This window comes from Homo sapiens, chromosome 6, assembly GCF_000001405.40.
Source record: "Homo sapiens chromosome 6, GRCh38.p14 Primary Assembly".
NCBI lineage: Eukaryota > Metazoa > Chordata > Mammalia > Primates > Hominidae > Homo > Homo sapiens.
The window spans coordinates 122,406,948-122,425,859 of record NC_000006.12 but is presented as its reverse complement, the minus strand read 5'-3'; the positions used below and the strand labels follow the sequence as shown (position 1 = coordinate 122,425,859).

Sequence of the window (18,912 nt, the reverse complement as noted above, 5' to 3'; positions counted from 1 at the left end):
CAAGTCCAGTTTACTTTAGAAAAATGTTAAGAGCTGGATATACACATTTGAAAGCAATCTTACAAGCCAAAATCTCTTCACAGAGGAAGAATGGAAAAAGAAGAGAGACAGAAAAAGTAAAAGAGGCTGAAAGATTGGGTGCATTAGGGGATGCCCTTAAGTAGAAGATAGTAGAAAAAAGAAAAGCTCTTAGATAAAACAGAGAAGATTAGGGAGACAGGGAGAGAACAAAAAAGTACAGCACCTCTAAAATCAACAATAAAAGTTCTATTGTACAGAATGCCCAATAATGTTAATAATAGTGTTAATTATTTCTAATTCTTGCCAACAGCCCTTCATGTTAGACATTAGCAACATTTAACAAATGGAGAAACTAGGCGAGAGAGAATAACTTTTCAAAGGTTAGTAACATAGCTAGTAAATAACATGAGCCTATAACAGAACCCAAATTTGTCTGATTCAAAACAAACTTTCCACTAGCCCAATGGACTAATACAGCAAAAAGAAAAGAAAAATCACACACAGCGTACTTACAATGAAAAAAACCAAGACAACACAGGCAGTGCAGAGTTTGAGTTAATAAGCAACACAATACAAAGCTTCAGACAAAATAGAGTAAAAAAGAGGTAAATACAGCCACTCGTTTCTAAAGTTTTGTAGTAAAGGAGTTAGAGAAGCAGAATGGTAAATGAACAAAGCAAGATGTCAAAATGGTTGTTTTTTAAGATGGAGCAGATCTCTAACTACTGAAGGCAGACGGGAAAGATTAAGGATAGAGGAGACAAATACAGAGGCAAAGGATAGGGGTACACATTGGTTTAAGGAATTACTTCTAAGAAGAAAGGATACAAGATTGGAAACAGAGTCATTACTTATGAGAGAATGAGAGTATAGTTAATTATCCTCTGTGAATAAGGGGTTGTTGACTGGATAAGGTCTTTAGGGCAAATAAATGTGGCAAATGTTTTAAAGTTGAATTAAAATGACCTAGCTGAAGACTGTAAGGATTTGAACATGGCCAGAATTATAGAATTTTATTTCGTTCTTGGTGATCTAAAGGAAAAATATTTTGAAAGGTCTCTGGATCTAAAGAAGGGAGAAAGGCTGATAGGATCAAAAAACACTGTCAGGTTACCGCTAAGTTGAAGTAGGTTATCAACATGGATACAAAATTCAAATTAACATGTATTCATAAGATAGAAACACAGGTCAAAATGGAAAAGAAATCTTCAAAGAAAGTAAAATCCCCTCTGTGAGGTGCTAACAATTTAGTAAGAACAAGTCCTTGGGGCACTGACAAGGACTGGTGAGAAGCAGAGGAGTAATGCAGTAAATTAATGAACTTGAAATAAGATTGAAGAGCAGAAAGAACTAATTCTTGTTTAGCCTGAGAGGCTTGTAAAAGGGTAAGAGAAGCTGCAATGTAAGGAAAGAAACACAGAAAAAAAGACAACAAAATTTTCCAGGATAAAGAGAGAAAACTGTTCACAACAGAAAATGGAAATAGGAGACAGAACAAGATTCATCTAAGCGCGACCAGACCACGTAGGAAGCTTTAGATAAAGAAGGGAGGAATAGCAGGAACAAGAGAGAATAGAGTAAGAAAGGTGGTTAGTGGCAGAAACGGTAGATAAGAATTCTCAGTCCAGTCAATATTGAAGTCAACTTCATAGGGATGGTGGTGGGGACTGGAGCAGGGGAACCTTGTAACTCAAAATATAAAAATGTAAAAAATAAGGCAAATATATTAAAACATATTTGAGTAAAAAATGTTAATCCCCAAAGTATCAAAAGGTGTCTCCATGCTATTTCCTAGCTAAGTACCTCTATTACTAATTTCCACAAATTTCTATTTACTGACAATTCATTCTAGAGCAAAACAGAAAAGAGCAACAAGTCCAGACAAGACATGAACTTAACAGTACTGCTGAAAAGATCTGATATGTTCTCACAGGGAAATTAGTTCAATTGCTACTCCAAGGCAGGTGGTAATCATACTCCTTCAATGTCCCAAACCTATTTTTTCATTCTTTCTGATAAACAAAATTATTAATTTAAAAAAGAAATGCAAAAACAACCTGTAGAATACAAAACAAAATGACGTACTGGTTTTTAAATAATATACATAAACACACAAACTACCAGTATAGCAAAGATTACCCAAAGTACCTACATCAACCAGGAGATCTGGGTCTATGCTAAATTGTCTTCCTGATAGCATGGCCTGGAAGTCCTCTAAACTGCAGTCAATACTGTCAAGATAATCCAACAGCTCAACCCTAAGGAAAAAAAAATTTTTTTAATCAAATATTAGATATCCTTGTTTTTATGTTTAAAAATCACCATTACAACTTGGCTAGGCAAGATATTTCTAGCAGCTGCTGCATCCTTACCGGTTCTTAATCTTAAGAGATCTTATTCTAGAGTAGGAATTCTTGAAAATCTGGTTAACTGAAAATTCATAGCCTTTACAGAAAACTTTAGTATTTACAGAAAAACACACCCTGCAGAACAGTCTGATTTACCTTTTTCCTCTATACTATATAAAATGTTTAATCTCATTACTGATTATTACTATTAAGTTTTCTTTGTTATAAGTACCTTACTAGAAATTACATTATTCTGTAGTTTGGATACACAAATATATATAATCACAAACACTGTATGTACACTCAAAGGAAGTATATCATCAAAGGAATCTGAGAAACTACCAGGAAAATACCAAGACTATTCTTGGGATGATTAAATCCCATTCATTACAGAACTCAACACTGACCAAAACAGAGAAAGGTGGACTATGTGGGTTCATCATCTGAAAGGAAGATTACTCAAAGAGAAACAGAACATGTGAAGTGAACAAAGAAAGCAAATAATTTTAGACAACATCTAGATAAGCACTCACTTTCCCAAAAGATTGATGTTATCATTCAAAATGGAATCCATCATGGTCACTGGATCTTCTGAGGTCAGACTGGATGAGCCATTTAGCTGGACAGCACTAGACATGAGAGGGCTGCTGCCATCACTGCCTGAACTTAGGGATTCTCTGGCTGGTTCATTCTGCTCTCCACTCTGAATGACAGGTGCATACTCATCTTCATTGTCATCTTCAACGATGACAATATCAGGGTACTGGCTACAGCTAAATCAGCAATAAAAGAAGGAACCTATTACATTTTCAAATTTAATAAGTTCATACTATCCATTCATTCTAAATGGAAACTCTCTCCCCATACCACATACTGAAAGGCTTAAATTTCTTGAGCGAGCAGCTTAATCACAATATTGGTACTTCATAGTATAGAAGACCATAAAGATTGAATGAGAAGTGCTTAACTCCAAAATAAAAATTAAAAATCAATTAGTTTTCAGTATACCTCCTTTGAGAGGAAGAGGAGGTGAGGTTTTATCTGGTTGAATAATTTAGCTTAATTATCAAGTTTAATAATCCAAATGTGAGAAAGATTATTATTTTTCAAAGAACAAAGTAGTTTTGAATTTTACTCTGTAATAAGAAAAGTAATCAATATTTTCATACATTTTATCTCACAAACTCCTTACTTGGAGGGATCAGATATAACATCCTCATTAGTTTCTGGAATAACTGGGATATTTTCTTCATCTGCATTATCATCAGTAACATCATAAATAATGATGTCATCTGAAATCCTCTCCCTTGGCTTTAAACCTTCAGTCCTACTGTGTGGAACCTAAAAATTCAGAGAGAAAAATATATCTAAAAATCAAAATCATTGACTACCAAACAAGATATCATCTACAAAATAACTAGGCAACTACTATTTACTGAATCTCGGGGTATGCAAAACAGGTGTGTTCTCTGCTCTTACGGAACTTACATAATAATTGGTACTAGCAGCACCAATTCACAGAGGTATGAGGTATATTAACTGCATTCTACACTTTACTACTTCTTTTACTGTAAGGGACCCTGAAGATGACACCCCTAAAAATGTTTCTATGGAAAGATCTTCAAATTTTAAAGTATTTTTTATGCCTAAAGAGTAAAAAAGTCTTAGGACTTCACTAGAAACTTCAAGCACGACCAGACAGCCACCATGCTGATAGGGATATTGTTTCAGCTCAAGATGCTCTGTTTTGAAATGTGTTTTATTCTTATTCATTAAATACCTTCACTAAGAGAAAAAAACGCACTTCACCTCTCTCAGTTACATGTTAGCTTGGCTTTTTAGCAATGATTTTTTTTTAAACTTAAGCTACAGATATATTCAGGCTACAGCTGTATTAATCAAACTAAGTTCAATCCTGTAAAGCAAACTAAAGTCATTATTAAAATGCAAAAAACTATAAATTCCAATACTAGATAATAAAGAGGCAAAGGATGTGAAGTACTTTAAAATATATAAACCCAGTTAAAAATATAAAAATCTTCATCCACTTACATGAGCCTTCAATCCTAAAAACAAAATAGGTATGCTTGATTATTTTCTAACAGTAGAGGGAAAAGAAATCAGATGTGAGGTTAAGTTTGATTGTCCAAGAACAAAAATCTTATTACTTTAATAATAAATCTAAAGAACTATTTTGAATTCTGAAGTTTGAAAGTAGTAACAAAAAGATAATAAAAAAGATCTGGACTTTGGACTGGACTAATTTGCCACTGGATAGAAATCTGACAAATTATCCAGAAAGCCTGTGACAAAATGAAGGTAAAAATTTAAATTGCTGGAGTAAAAAGCATTCTAGTTGGTGAACATTAATAAAAAAAAGTTGAAAATAGAATAACCAATGTAAGAATATATAATCACATTAAATTATAATAATTACATTTTCAAAATATTCAATTATTATATAATATTGAAATGAGTAAGCCAGGTGCAGTGGCTCATGCCTGTAATCCCAAAACTTTGGGAGGCTGAGGCAGGCAGATGGCTTGAGTCTGGGAGTTCGAGACCAGCAAAGGTGACATGATGAAAATCCATCACTACAAAATATACAAAAATTATCCAAGTGTGGTGGCACACACCTATAGTCCCAGCTACTCAGGAGACTGAGGCAGGAGAATTGCCTGGGCCCAGGAGGTGGAGGCTGCAGTGAGCCAAGATCATACCACTGCACTCCAGGCTGGGTGACAGAGTGAAATCCCATCTCAAAAAAAAAAAAAAAAAAAAAAAAAAAAAGAAATGAATAAACTAAATCGCTATGTTTAATAAATCTCAAAAGCAACATCAAGTTAAAAAAAAGCCACACTATAAAATGATATGCACAAAATGATATTATTTATATGAAGTTTAGATATATGCAAAATAATACCAAGTACTGCTCCTGGATTCACATATACAAAATGGCCATGAGAATGATAGATACTAATTCAAGATAGTGATTACCTCTAGGGTAAGCGAGGAAGAGTAAAGAGGGGAGACAAGAGACGGGGAGAGAGAAAAACTTAGAAACAGGCAACTGGAACAACTAGATTTGTGATGATTTATTTCTTACAATAATCTAAAGCAAATAATAAAAAATGTCACAATTTAACAAAGCTGTGGGATGAACACTTGAATTGTTATTCACCACACTTCTTTGAATGCATGAAACACTGCCATAATAAAATTTAGTCTGAGACAATAAATATAAAATAGACCCTAACTAAAAAATTACTTTATGATGATGATTATCAGTTGGTTCTTTGACTATGTGCTGAAACAGGTTCTTCTTTTGGGCTCCATTAGTGTTTAGAAGTAGAGGCCTGAAAACCAGAAGAATATGCAGTTCAGTGAAGCAAACATACAATGAATTTAAACTCCCTCTATTAACTTACCCAAACACACACACATGCACACTCACTTAATAATGAATAAAAAATTTCAGTAACAATAAATAAACTTAAAAATGATTACATCTTAGGAACAGAAACTGCTGGATGAGAATATCTAGGACTTTCAGTTCTCCACTTTTCTACACTCTTTTTGTTATAATAAGCTATTCTCTCCAGTTATACTTCATTGCTTACCGAACCACACAACTCTATGAACTGTATTTATATAGAAAAAAATAGATAATATCATAAGAACTAATTAGTGGAAGTAGTTAAGGCCATAAAGCTCTGATCATAATCAAGTTTTTCCCAAATCTTAGTGTTACAGATCATTTTTTCCTTCCAACTATTCCTTTTGTCCATTATTCTTCTAATGTTTTAGCTGTGACAATAGTAGCTACTGACATTTACAGGTATCACAACCCATGGCTGAGATACAGATTTAAAAAGACTATGAGTGGCTTAAACTAAGAGAGGTCAAGTAAAACAAATTTTCATTTTTTTTTTAACATATGGCCTCTTTTTAAAAATTTCCTTCACTCAGGCCTTCTAATGCTACTTTAATAATGTGAATGAAAAGTGAATATTTTGTATTAACTGTATGTATGTCTATAAAGTGACCATTTAGGCTACCCTTATCTCTCACAAACATCAGCAGAATGATAAAACTAAAAAATAATACTACTCTAGAGATTTTAAGAGTATAATTTAACAAAGGAGAATTGTTCTTTTTGGACAACAAGCACATACTCAGCAAGTGTAGGCTACTCATGGTTAAACACTAAAAAGTGTGACTGCCTATATACAGGACATAATACTTTATCATAAAAACTTACCTTTTACGTTTTAAACTCACAAGTTGGTTATTTTGAACCAATGTAACAATAAACTGGACAATCTGAAAAAAATATAAACAAAAATTATTTCATTATACTGTTAATTCTTTTGTCTCTATTACCAAGTCTTATAAAACAAATTCATATAATAATTTGTCCTCTAAGTCTCATAATTTCTCACATATTAACACTTGAAATCCAGACGCACCGTAGAACCACCGTCTAAAGAAACATACCAGCTTCCAGGCAGTTTATTTGTTTTGGTGATAAGTACCAAACTTGCCTGGCTATAGATCCCAACTTTTTTACTTCAAGTACTTTGAAGATTACACTACGGTGCAAAAGAGAAAACTGGTGTTTGATAGGCAACATTTTTCTTATACCAGGTAACAGAGGCAAAATAAACCGTCAGTTCCTTCAGAATAATCATGAAATTTTCGAGTTAGAAAAAGGTGATGGGCCAGGCGTGGTGGCTCATGCCTGTAATCCCAACACTTTGGGAAGCCTAGGTAGGAGGATTGCTTCAGCCCAGGAGTCGGAGACCAGCCTGGGCAACATCGTGATGCTCCATTTCTAAACAAACAAACTCTGCTTGCAACCAAAGAAAAAAAAGAAAAAGATAAAAGTTTATTGTCTGATTCTATAAAGATTAATGTTGAGACCTATCTGTCAAAACTTCCTACTGACAAGGGAAGCTAATCTTTAATATTTAATTAAATTTAGAGAGAAAATTGTGAAGACACACAAACAAGCTTTCATATCTTATAGTAGTGTTTCTTAAAGTGTGGCCCATAATACCAGGAACACTAGCTTAGGAACTTTGGATATGTTAAATTCTCAATCCTACTACAGAACTGCTGAATCTGAAATTCGGATCATGGGATCCAGTATGTTTAGAAAACCCTTTAGTGTAGACTGGATACTGATGTGAGTATAAGAACTACTGGCTTAGAGTATGTCTTGAAATTACATTGCCAACTTCCTAAAGGTGCTATAAAAGGTGAGGATCATATGGTAAACTATAAAAAGTAGTATATCACTGAGAAGCTATGAATAAAAGCCAAAATTGATTGGAGCACTATTTAGACTCTGTGCAGAAAGTGTGCTTATAAGCTTTGTGAAGTTACATGATTAAATAGAGTATTATCAATTAAAAATATCTATTGTACAGGTTCTAACAGTGAGCATTTCCTTACAAAAAAGGCTACTAAATGGTCTGCCTTATAATCAATATCAATTTTTCAATGGAAAAAAATATAGACATTTTAACTGAAGAGGTTCATAGTATTAGAGTCTATGAAAAGGAGGGTAGACACTAAATTGCTTATTCAAGAGAAAATGTTAACAGCTAGTGAAAAGACAATATGTAAGCTTAAAGATATCTATGATACAATTCGACTTCAGTTTTTTTAATTAATAAATGTTATGGGAATATTCTAAAAACTTCAGGTTGAATTTATAAGAACATCAATCACTGGCTAAATTAAATTTATTCTACATCTCAGTTCTCTGTTGACACTTCTGGATCACATTACACAGGGATTTTTATCTGAAGAAGATAAGGCGTCTAACACTTACAGCATGTAACTTCTGTACCTGTTAAGTCCTATAACTGGACCATCACACATATTATTCTCAATTAATCCATGGCTGAGAGTAAATTCCAGGAGCAGAGTAAAAATTATTGGTTGTCGTCATGCATTATATAAACACCACTCACCAAAGCACAGAGATTCAAACTCAAATTTTAGCAGACAGAATGTTAGCATTCATGAAAAACTGAAATGTCACATAGCTATTTTATCAACTATTCTTGCTTTCAGGAAAAAAAAAATCTACACATTATAGAGTGTTGTAAGCTAATATATTACCAAAACACTGTTTCTGAAAAGTATTAACAGACTGTTTCCATAAAGTACAGGTTAAGGTACATCTATTGTTTTAAGTCAACTATTCTTAACCAGGCTGCACATTAGAGTTGCCTATGAAAGTTTTAAAAATACATGTACTTGGACTAAACACTTAGAACTGAATTCTACTACATTCAACCTTCACTTGCACACTTTAAAAAAAAAAAAAAACACAGTAAATCTATGTTGACTAGGCTACAGGCTGCAACTGCTACTCATCTCTGCTTTAAAGCCTTCTCCATTAGACCCTGATCCTGTCAGTCACAACCCTATTTTTAGTTCAAGGGCCTTCTAAGCAGGAGCAATCAGAAGCTCCCCCTCAAAAAACCTGTTGCTTAAACTCAGAGTCTAGTTTACTCATGAGCAAAAAATAGCTGCCTTAATTACTATGTTTCATCTCTTATTAGCAAATGAAAGCTGATATGCAAAGATTAAATCACAAGGACACAATGAAACGGAGGGATTCCAACTCCTCTATTAAATTTTCAGCTCAGATACTAAAATCTAAAATTCATTTTACAACACTATGTTAACTGCTTTTCTCCACAGACTAATAACAGCATACATTGAGAAATCATTTTCTGAACTCATAATTTGGTCAACTGATTTGAAAATATTTGTCATTTATCTTCTGAGACCTTAACTATGCCTTTTATAATAAAAACCAACAAAAAAAACCAGTAAGGCTATGTTTTCTAATTTTAAAAGAAATTGGTAGTGTATTCATTATGCTCATAAAAATAAAGTATTTCAAAATTGTTATATTAGGCAAAAGATCATTTACTAAAAGCTACTGAGACATTATCTGCGAGTATGGAATAACCATCTTTAGCTAGTGAGAAATTTTTTATTAAAAATGTGTAACACTTGGCTTAATTTCATTTCATTTTTTACTTCTATCTGTGCATCCAATATGTAAGAAACTAAGATCAATCACAGACACTCAATAAAGACCTTTTTGGGTCACAAACAGTACTCATTAAACAAATGCAAATTATGGTCCTGGGGAAAAGAGCTTCTTACCTTTCGAATAACTTGTTGCTGTTGTGCATGCTTTGCTCGTAATTCTGACACCTCCTTCCAAAGGGACTCATTCTCACTATGTTATAATTTATTAAGCAACAAAACAAAAAAAAAATCAATCAAAAAACCAGACCATAGTATCTTTAATTAAGAATACCAGACAACTGAACTACACTTGTTTTTACTATATGTATTTATGAGACCAAGAAAACTTTGGTTCAATTACATAGGAATGACAACTACCTTGACACAACTCCTGAATCATTCTTTTTTTAAAAAAAAGGTGTAGCTTTGCTCTGTCGCCCAGGCTGAAGTGCAGTGGTACGATCTCGGCTCATTGCAACCTTCACCTCCAGGGTTCAAGCAATTCTCGTGCCTCAGCTTCCTAAGTAGCTGGGATTACAGGCATGTGCCACCACAACCAGCTAATTTTTTTTGTATTTTTAGTAGAAACGGGGTTTTGCCATGTTGGCCAGGCTGATCTCAAACTCCTGACCTCAGGTGATCCACCCACCTCGGCCTCCCAAAGTGCTGCGATTACAGGCATGAGCCACCGCACCCAGCACCAGAATCATTCCTTCCTAAGTGTAGTATCTGCTACTCATGACAATAGATACACAGAAACTTAAGACATATGCCTACATCAATATAGTAGTTGGCAATTTACTACTTTTGACAATCTGGCTCATTATTTTTTGCTTAAAAAAAAATAAGCTAATCTTTCAACTGTGGTTACCAAGTGAATTCAGGCCTTCCTAATCACCTTAGGAAATAAAGGGTAGTGATATATACCCAGCACTTACTATACTCTAAGCACTATGCTAGACATTTTATGTGTATTACTTATTTAAAATTTCTCTAAAAACCACCAAGAAATAAGTCATCATCTCTATTTTATAGATGAGGACACTGAGGTACAGAGAATTGAGGGGAACTGCTCAAGATCATACAAATAATTTGGTAAGTGTTGAAATCAAACTAAAGTCTGTCAGATTCTAAAACTATCTTAAGATCTATCTCAAACAACAGCATATGTAAACCACTAAAATGTTATTCTGAAAAAGCATATCCAATAATAAACTAATAACTTGCCAAATATGAATAGCTTCTTCTTCGTTCACCTTTTTTAATTGAAACTGCATTATGTTGTTAAATGTTCGCAGCACGGAGAATGCTGAATACCTATTAAATGCTTTAATTTTCCATCTTTTGTTATTCTCCACAAGTCATCTTCTTTAATCCAAACTAATATAAAAGGAACTGGAGATTTACATATAAGGGTATACCAAAGGAGATTTTAATATTTACTGAATAACTACTGTATTTTTCTGATTCAAATTAAAAAATGTTGTTATCTGCTTACTAAATAAAGATAAGTAGGGCTGGGTGCGGTGGCTCGTGCCTGTAATTCCAGCACTTTGAAAGGCCGATGTGGGCGGATCACTTGAGGTCAGGAGTTTGAGAACAGCCTGGCCAACACAGTGAAACCCCATCTCTACTAAAAATACAAAAATTAGCTGGCACATGCCTGTAATCCCAGCTACTAGGGAGGCTGAGGCACAAGAATCGCTTGAACCGGCAGGCGGAGATTGCAGTGAGGTAAGATCAAGTCACTGCACTCCAGACTGGGTAACAGAGTGAGACTGTCTCAAAACAAAAACAAACAAACAAAAAGATAAGGAGAAGAAAGTTCCCTCTAAGGTACAAAAAATGATTTGGGGATCACTTTCTTTAAAGGCTGAAACTGTGGTCCCAAGGAACTGGGTCAAAGAGCAGCTAGTATACACAAGATACATACAGTAAACAAGTTGTTAAATACACAAGAAGAGAAAGCCTAAAGCTTATTTAAAAAAGAAATCAAAGTTATAGGTTCCTCTTTTAATGAAGATATTTGAGTTATGATTAACTAAAGTAACGTCTCACATCTGATATGGAAGAGAGAATATGTAAAGTAACCACTCTTAAGCCCTTGGCACCTATTAGGATACAGAAAAATTCCAGCTACTTACTAAGAAGAGTAATACACTATCTACTCTATACACAAGTTATTAGTATGGCAAGTTACAATAATGGTAACCAAGAAATGTAGTAAAATAAAACGAAGCATCTTTCTGTAGATAAAAGCTCTGAATAACACTTTTCCAAGTCTATACGAAATAAGTATCAAGCATGGCAACTCTCCTGCATCGTTTTCCGATTTTTTTGTGTCCTACTTTTTCCTAAGAGTCCACACAAAGAAATCTTAAGAGACAGCCATTAAACAAAGGATGGGTAACATACAGGGTTTTTATGTCGTATGCCCTCATTGTCTATGAGCACCATATGAGCTAACCTAAATAGAATCATATTTCCTACATCATCTTAAAGACCTACTGTTTATTGCTAAGACTTATACATCAAACTGTTTTGATACGCTTAGGTTTATATCTTCTTCTGACTATCATAATTAAAACAATATTAGAGTAAAGTCAGTGGCCACAAATCAAAGTAAAGGGAACCAATACTTGCAGAAAAATGACCTTTGATCTTGGCTTCAACAAAGTGATCTGAGTACTTACAATAAAACATCAGACAACCTCCAAACTCAACACACATAGACACATACCCAATTCCCAGATTAAAATTATATTTGGAAATAACACTTTACCTTTTTAATTCAGAAAGCCTGGACTCAATAGTTTCCTGTTTTATCTGAACCTTCTGAGCACTACTTATAATTTTTGTTAAATCTTCCTGACGAATTTTATTTTCTTCTGGTTTTGAAGATGAAACCTTTGAAAAAGTAAATTTAGAAAATCAAAGAAACAGTAAACACCCATGATTGTAATTCAAAGCTTCCCTATTAGAAGAGGTTTTCGTAGCCTGTTCAGGAAGTGAGATCTGGTTCCAAAAGCCCGGGATGAAATGCTAGGGAAAGAATAAACTTCAGAGCTCAATGGGAGAGAACGCAAGGAATAATCTACTTAAAAAAAATTTTTTTTTAATGTTAAAAAGTTTCCGCAAGCAGGAATATCTTAGAGTCTTTTATTCTCCCCTTATGCCAAGCTCCTTGCAATTTCCCCCAAGCCTCTTTATTACCACATTCCACATTTAATTAAATTTATGCAGTAAAAGGTTCATGCTAGGCCATTTTCTTTCATGGTCCACCCCTTTTACAGATTTAGTAAAATATCTTATTTTACCAAAAGATATTATGCATTAAAAAATATATTACTGAATGTATTTCTGAATGCCTACTATGTGGGCATATTTATATTATTAGAAGAGACTTATTGTAGGTACTGGATGTACAATTACAAACTATAGAAAAAGTCTTCCAGGGAGCTCATATTCTAGCAGGAACTTAAACTTTTTTTTTTTTTTAAGCTAACTTAGGAAAAAAATACAGGGAAACAAGTAAAACTTTATTATCCTAATTCATCCCAACAAGGAACAGTTGTGCATTTCTGTACTTTCAACAGCTGAAATAAAAATCTTGGCCAAGCACACTCCAGGTCAATACCCTAATTAGCTCACGTTCACAATAGCTCACCTTCCTTTTAATGTTCTCCAACAAGTCATCCTGTCCTTGTTTGAAGTAAGGATGCTGAAATTCTACAGGACCATCTCTTTCTTGCTTTACAATTCCAGAGTCGATATGTACTACTTTACGGAAACCATCTGAAAAATATTCAAAATTCAAATGACTAAAATAAACAAGTCAAAATTTGGTGGTGCTTGTATGGAATAATTTTCCTTTACCACCCTAATGGGAAAAAAAATGGCTTCATCAGTAGCTGATAATGGTACTCCAATAAACTGCTGTCCATACTCACACATATTCAGTTGCCTCACAAAGCTTGCCATATTATTGTGCTTGAAATATTTGGGAAGAATTTCTTTTGCAAATCGTTGCTCATCCAAGACCAGAAAACTTTGGCCATTCTGCAAGGGGAAAAAAAAAAAGAAAAAGTAAATTAGTTAAGTTCCTATGACACATGGTGATATATTTATACATCCCACAACTGTCTTGAGTAGTCCAGTCCCTCCTTGATGTCTTCAGACCAACATTCTATTCTTGACAACAGGAACAAGAAACAAAATTGCAATTAAGCAACAAATTGCAACTAAGCTTTTTGATGTCAACCTCAAAAGTTTAGGAACATATCTCAAACCAAATGCCACATCACACTCTATGGTGAAATATTAGAACTTCCATTAAACCAGCAATGAGAAAATGAAATACAATTATGTAGACAGCATAATTAACATTGTTTTAAAACTAGTGCAATTAAGACCAAAATAAAAAAAAAAGATTTTGAGAGGAAGTACCATTTTATAATTATTTGCAGTAGACATAGTAGACATAATTGTATCTTTGTAAAATCAATTTAAAAACCCTTTAAGAATTCAGTAAGATACGTGGTTACTAAATTAATATTAAAAGTCACTAGTGTTTTTCTCTACAAAAAACAAACACCTGGAAACACTACAAAAATAAAGTAATCAAAGTAGCATGGTACTGGCATACTGACAAACATATAGATCAATGAAATAAAATAGACAGCCCAGAAATAAACCCTGCCAAAGGATTTTTGACAACAGTGTCAAGACCATTCAATAAAAAAAGGACAGTCTTTTCAACAAATGGTGCTGGGAAAACTGGATATCTACATACAAAAAAATGAAGTTAGACCCTTATCTGATAACATATATAAAAACTAACTTCAAATCAATCAAAGACCTAAACACAAGAGCTAAAGAAACTTTTAACAATAGTAGAGCATGACATTAGACTTGGCAATGATTTATTAAATGTAACACTAAAAGTACAGGCAACAAAAGCAAAAATAGACAAATGGAACTACATCAAATCTAAAGACTACCAACAGACTGAAAAGGCAACCCTCAGAATGGAAAGAAGAAAGTGCAAATCATATACCTCAGGAGTTAATATCCAGAACATAGACATAACTCTTAAAATTCAAAAAGAACAAAAGACAAAAAAAACCCAAACAACCCGATAAAAAACGAGCAAGGATGTGAGTAGATATTTCTTCAAAGAAGATATACAAACTTCCAATAAGCAAATAAAAAGATGGTCAGTAACACAAATCATTAGGGAAATGAAAATCAAAACTAAAACAATATACCACTGCACACCCATTAGAATGGCTATTATCAAAAACGCATAAAACAAGTGTTCACAAGGAAGTGGAGAAATTGGAATATTGGTGCATTATTGGTGGGAATGTTAAAATAGTGTGGTTGCTGTGGAAAACACTATGATAGTTCCTTTAAAAATTAAACAAAGAACATATAATCCAGCAATTCCATTCCTAGGTATATACTCAAAAAAAAAAAAAAAACCCAAAAACAACAACAAAAAAACAAAACAAAAAAAACCATAAAAGCAACGACTTGAACAGATATTTGTACCCCATGTTCACAGTAGCATTTTTCACAACAGGCAAAAGGTAGAAGTAACTTCAGTATCCACCAACACATGGTGAAATATATATGGATAAAGTATGGTATATACATGCAATGAAATATTATTTCACCTAAAAAAGGAAATTCTCACAAGCTACAACATGAAAAGAACTTTGAAAACATTATGCTGTGAAATAAGCCAGTCACAAAAGAACAAATACTGTACAATTCCCCTTATATGAAGTTTCCATAATAGCCAATTTCAGAGACAAAAAGTAGAATGGTGGTTGTCAGGGGCTGCGGGGAGGAAGGAGTTAGAAGTTATTGTGAAATGGGTATAAAGTTTCAGTGTGGAAAGATAAAAATTGTTCTGGAGATGGATGGTGGTAATGGTTGCCTAACAATGTGAATCTAACTTAATGCACTTAAAATGGTTAATTTTATGTTATGTATATTTTACCACAATTAAAAAAATTAGAAACTAAAATGGAATAAAATATCCCAATAATAATAGAAAAATGTTAAGTATCTAAAAATAAAATTTAAAAATATACAGGAACTTTAAAAATATTAAAACTATAGAAATACAAAAGGAAGACAAATGCAGTATTGTAAAGGTGTCAATTCTCTCTAAATTAACCAATACATTAAATTCTGTCTTAATTAAAAAAATGATTTGTGGAGTAAAGATGAATTGATGCTATCATAACCAAATGTTAGGTACATAAGTTCATTTGTAAAAATAATTACATAACAACAGGAAAGAAAATATTGAGAACAATGGGGAGGAGTATTTTAACCCTACCCAATACAGATTATAAAATTATAGTGTTAACAATTTAGTACAAAAGAAGAAGTGATTACATAGATGAATGGACTGACTAGAGAGGACAGATGAACCAGCAAATCTATCTGAGAATTTACCAGGTAGTAAGTCAAGATGGCATTCAAATGGGGGGATAATCAGGAAAGAAAAGGATTAAGAAATTTTCCATTTGGGAAGAAAAATAAGAGCTCGATGTCATCTTACTCTTTACAAGCAAGCTTTTGGAGACATGACATAATAAACCCAGAAGACATATAGATAAAATATAAATTTATCCATGGAGACTGCTAGCTTCCTACTCTATCTCTACTCTCCTCTACTTTCTTCCTAACAGAAACACAATTTTGATGAAAAACACATTGTGAAATTTAGAAGAGACCCAGACTCATAAATGAAGAATGTAGAGCAAAACAAATAATGATTTTCCCTTATTAGATTAAATTTACAACCCTTGACAATAACCAGTATTGGCAACTAGGTAATTATCAAAATTAAAATGCTTAAAATGCATACGTCTTTTCCTATCTTAAAAGAACTTTCCCTCTTATACCTTCTTTTTCAATCTACCCATCTGTCTTTTCCTTAACTGCAAAATTTAACAAGCAGGTATTTTAAACCCCCCTTCTCCAATTCAGGACCATCCACTTACTCTCACTGAAAACTGCTTTTGGTTCCCTCACTCGACTGAAACCAGATTTCTAAAATGTCAAATATCAAATTCAATGCCCTCTTTTCAGTCCTGATCTTCCTACACCTCTCTGTGGCATTTCATTTGGTACAACTAACAATCTCCTCCTTAAATGTTCGACTCTCTGGGCTTTGATGCTAAACACTGTTGAGTCTCTTATCTCTTATATTTCCTTTCAATTTTCTTCCACCTATCAAATAAGAGGTAGCTGTATTTTCCAGGTTTTTATCCTTAATCGTGGCACCATTCATATTCTTTCCTTAGAATTCATCCACAGTAGGGTATCTTATTATTGACTTTATTTTATAATAAACACATCTACAGCTCTGTCCCTGATCATCTCAAATTACACACTTCAATTTAAAATGTTAACATTTTTTACACTATGTTCTTTAACTCAGTATGTTCTAAACCCATTTCCTGTTTCCCCGGAAGTCAATCTTTTCTTGTGTCTTCCATTCTACCAAGTCCCTTCCTCACTAAGTCACCCGACAACATTTGATGTCAAAAAAAAAAAAAAAATGAAGTTAAAAACTCTCATTCTAACAGCTAGTAAGGGGGAAACATTAAAACATTCCCTTTAAAAATTAAGAACAAAGCCAGAATGCCATGATAATTGCTTCTACTCACTCTTAGTTACTGCCAAAAGAAAAACGGAAGGCATAAAGGTCTGAAAGGAAGAAAATAAATGTCAATCACAGATACTATGGGTGTACTCAGAAAACTGAAATCAGTAAAATGATTTGCTCACTGATTTATTATCAATATACAAAAATTACTTGTATTTCTAATTACCAGCAACAGCTAGAAATCTATTTTTAAGTCAAGAACACCATTTACAACATATATAAGATATCCAGGAAGAAAATGAACAAAGATCCACAAGGCCTAATAGCAAACATAAATCAACAAAATGAATTTAGAAATATGCCTTGTCATGAGAATACACAACACAGAGATATCGATTTTCCCTAATCTGATTTATATAGTTTTGATCCAATTGCAGCAAAAATCCAAAAGGCTTTTTTTTTTTTTATGGAACTTGATTTTAAAACATATGTGGAAGAGCTAAAGACCAAAAATACTTAAGGCACTCCTGAAGGATAGATTACCCTACCAAAAGACTTTTTCTGAAGCTACAGTAATTAAGACAGCAGAAGACAGGCACAGGATAAATTGTCCAATGGAATGGCATAAAGACTCCAGAAACAAAACCACTGAATGTTTGTGTCCCCCAAAATTCTATGTTGAAACCCTTGCCCCTGATATGATGGTATTTGGAGTTAGAGCCTTTGGGAGGTAATTAGGTTCAGAGGAGGTAATGAAGATAGGACCCCCCAGGTTAGGTTGGTGTCCTTATAAGATAAGAGAGACCAGAACACACTCTCTCTCTCTCTCTCTCTCTCTCTGCCATTGGGAAGACACAGAGAGAAGGCAGCTGTCTGCAAAGCAGAGAAAGCTCTAACACAGGAACTGAAATGGCCACTGCCTTCATCTTGGACTTCTCCACCTCCAGAACTGTAAAAAATAAACGCCTGTTGTTGAAGCCACCTGGTCTATGATATCTTGCTACGGCAGCCCAACTGATTAAGACAATATCTACACGTACTTGTGACGTAAGATAGAAGTGGCAATATAGATCATTGGAAAAGGAAGAACTACTCAGTAAAGGTGCTAGACAACTAAAATGTAAAAAGCCACAAACTGGAAGATATGGCCAAAACATAAACTCGAATATGTAGAATATATAGGAATTCTCACAAATAATAAAAAAAAAAACAGAAAAATGGCAAAACAAACATTTCACAGAACAGGAAACACAAATGGCCAACGAACGTGAAAAGGTTTTAGAACTCATTAATAATCAAGAAAATATAAATCAAAACCTCATTGAGACAATGCTTTACATCAATTAGATTGGTAAAAAGTAAGAACGATAACTAATACACAGTTTTGAAGAGGCAGATTAACAGAAAATCTCATACATGGCTAATAGCGGAATAAGCTGGTGTGATCTCTTTGGAAGATAATTCACACTATCTTGAGGTTAGACATTTCATATCCTATATCCCAGCAAGTCACATGAGTGTACAGACCTTAGAGAAACTCTTGCTTATATACACCAGGAGAGATATACAAGAATATTCCTAACAGCATGTGACACAGTTGATCTCTTTCCTGAGCCATTTTCTTTCATTAACTTCTGTGGGTTCACTCCCTTGATTTTCCTTCTTTTTCACTGTTCCGTCTCAGCCTCCTTTGCTGGCTTTTGTCTTCATACTCTCTAAATGTTGGAATAATACATCTTTTGGTTCCTTCTATCTTCACAGAAGATGATTTCATTAAGTCTCCTGGCTTTACCAGTTACAAGGTCTAAACTCCACCCTGAATGCCAAAGTCTTATACTCAACCACCTATTCAAC

The 18,912-nt window shown here is 33.8% G+C and overlaps 1 protein-coding gene across 3 annotated transcripts in view; it reads right to left on the bottom strand.

Moving 5' to 3' along the window:
• HSF2 (heat shock transcription factor 2) overlaps positions 1-18,912 on the bottom strand; it is a 33,569-nt gene that overhangs the window by 7,260 nt on the left and 7,397 nt on the right. For 2 of the 3 annotated variants that reach the window (NM_001135564.1, NM_004506.4), the window contains exons 2-10: positions 13,379-13,487; positions 13,096-13,223; positions 12,211-12,335; positions 9,564-9,639; positions 6,631-6,692; positions 5,638-5,725; positions 3,562-3,710; positions 2,903-3,142; positions 2,174-2,279 (exon numbers count right to left, since the gene is read on the bottom strand). In NM_001135564.1, the coding sequence (NP_001129036.1) occupies positions 2,174-2,279; positions 2,903-3,142; positions 3,562-3,710; positions 5,638-5,725; positions 6,631-6,692; positions 9,564-9,639; positions 12,211-12,335; positions 13,096-13,223; positions 13,379-13,487 (1,083 nt within the window). Of the gene's footprint in view, positions 1-2,173; positions 2,280-2,902; positions 3,143-3,561; positions 3,711-5,449; positions 5,726-6,630; positions 6,693-9,563; positions 9,640-12,210; positions 12,336-13,095; positions 13,224-13,378; positions 13,488-18,912 lie in introns of those variants that run through there. The other variant, NM_001243094.2, reaches the window with a different exon arrangement.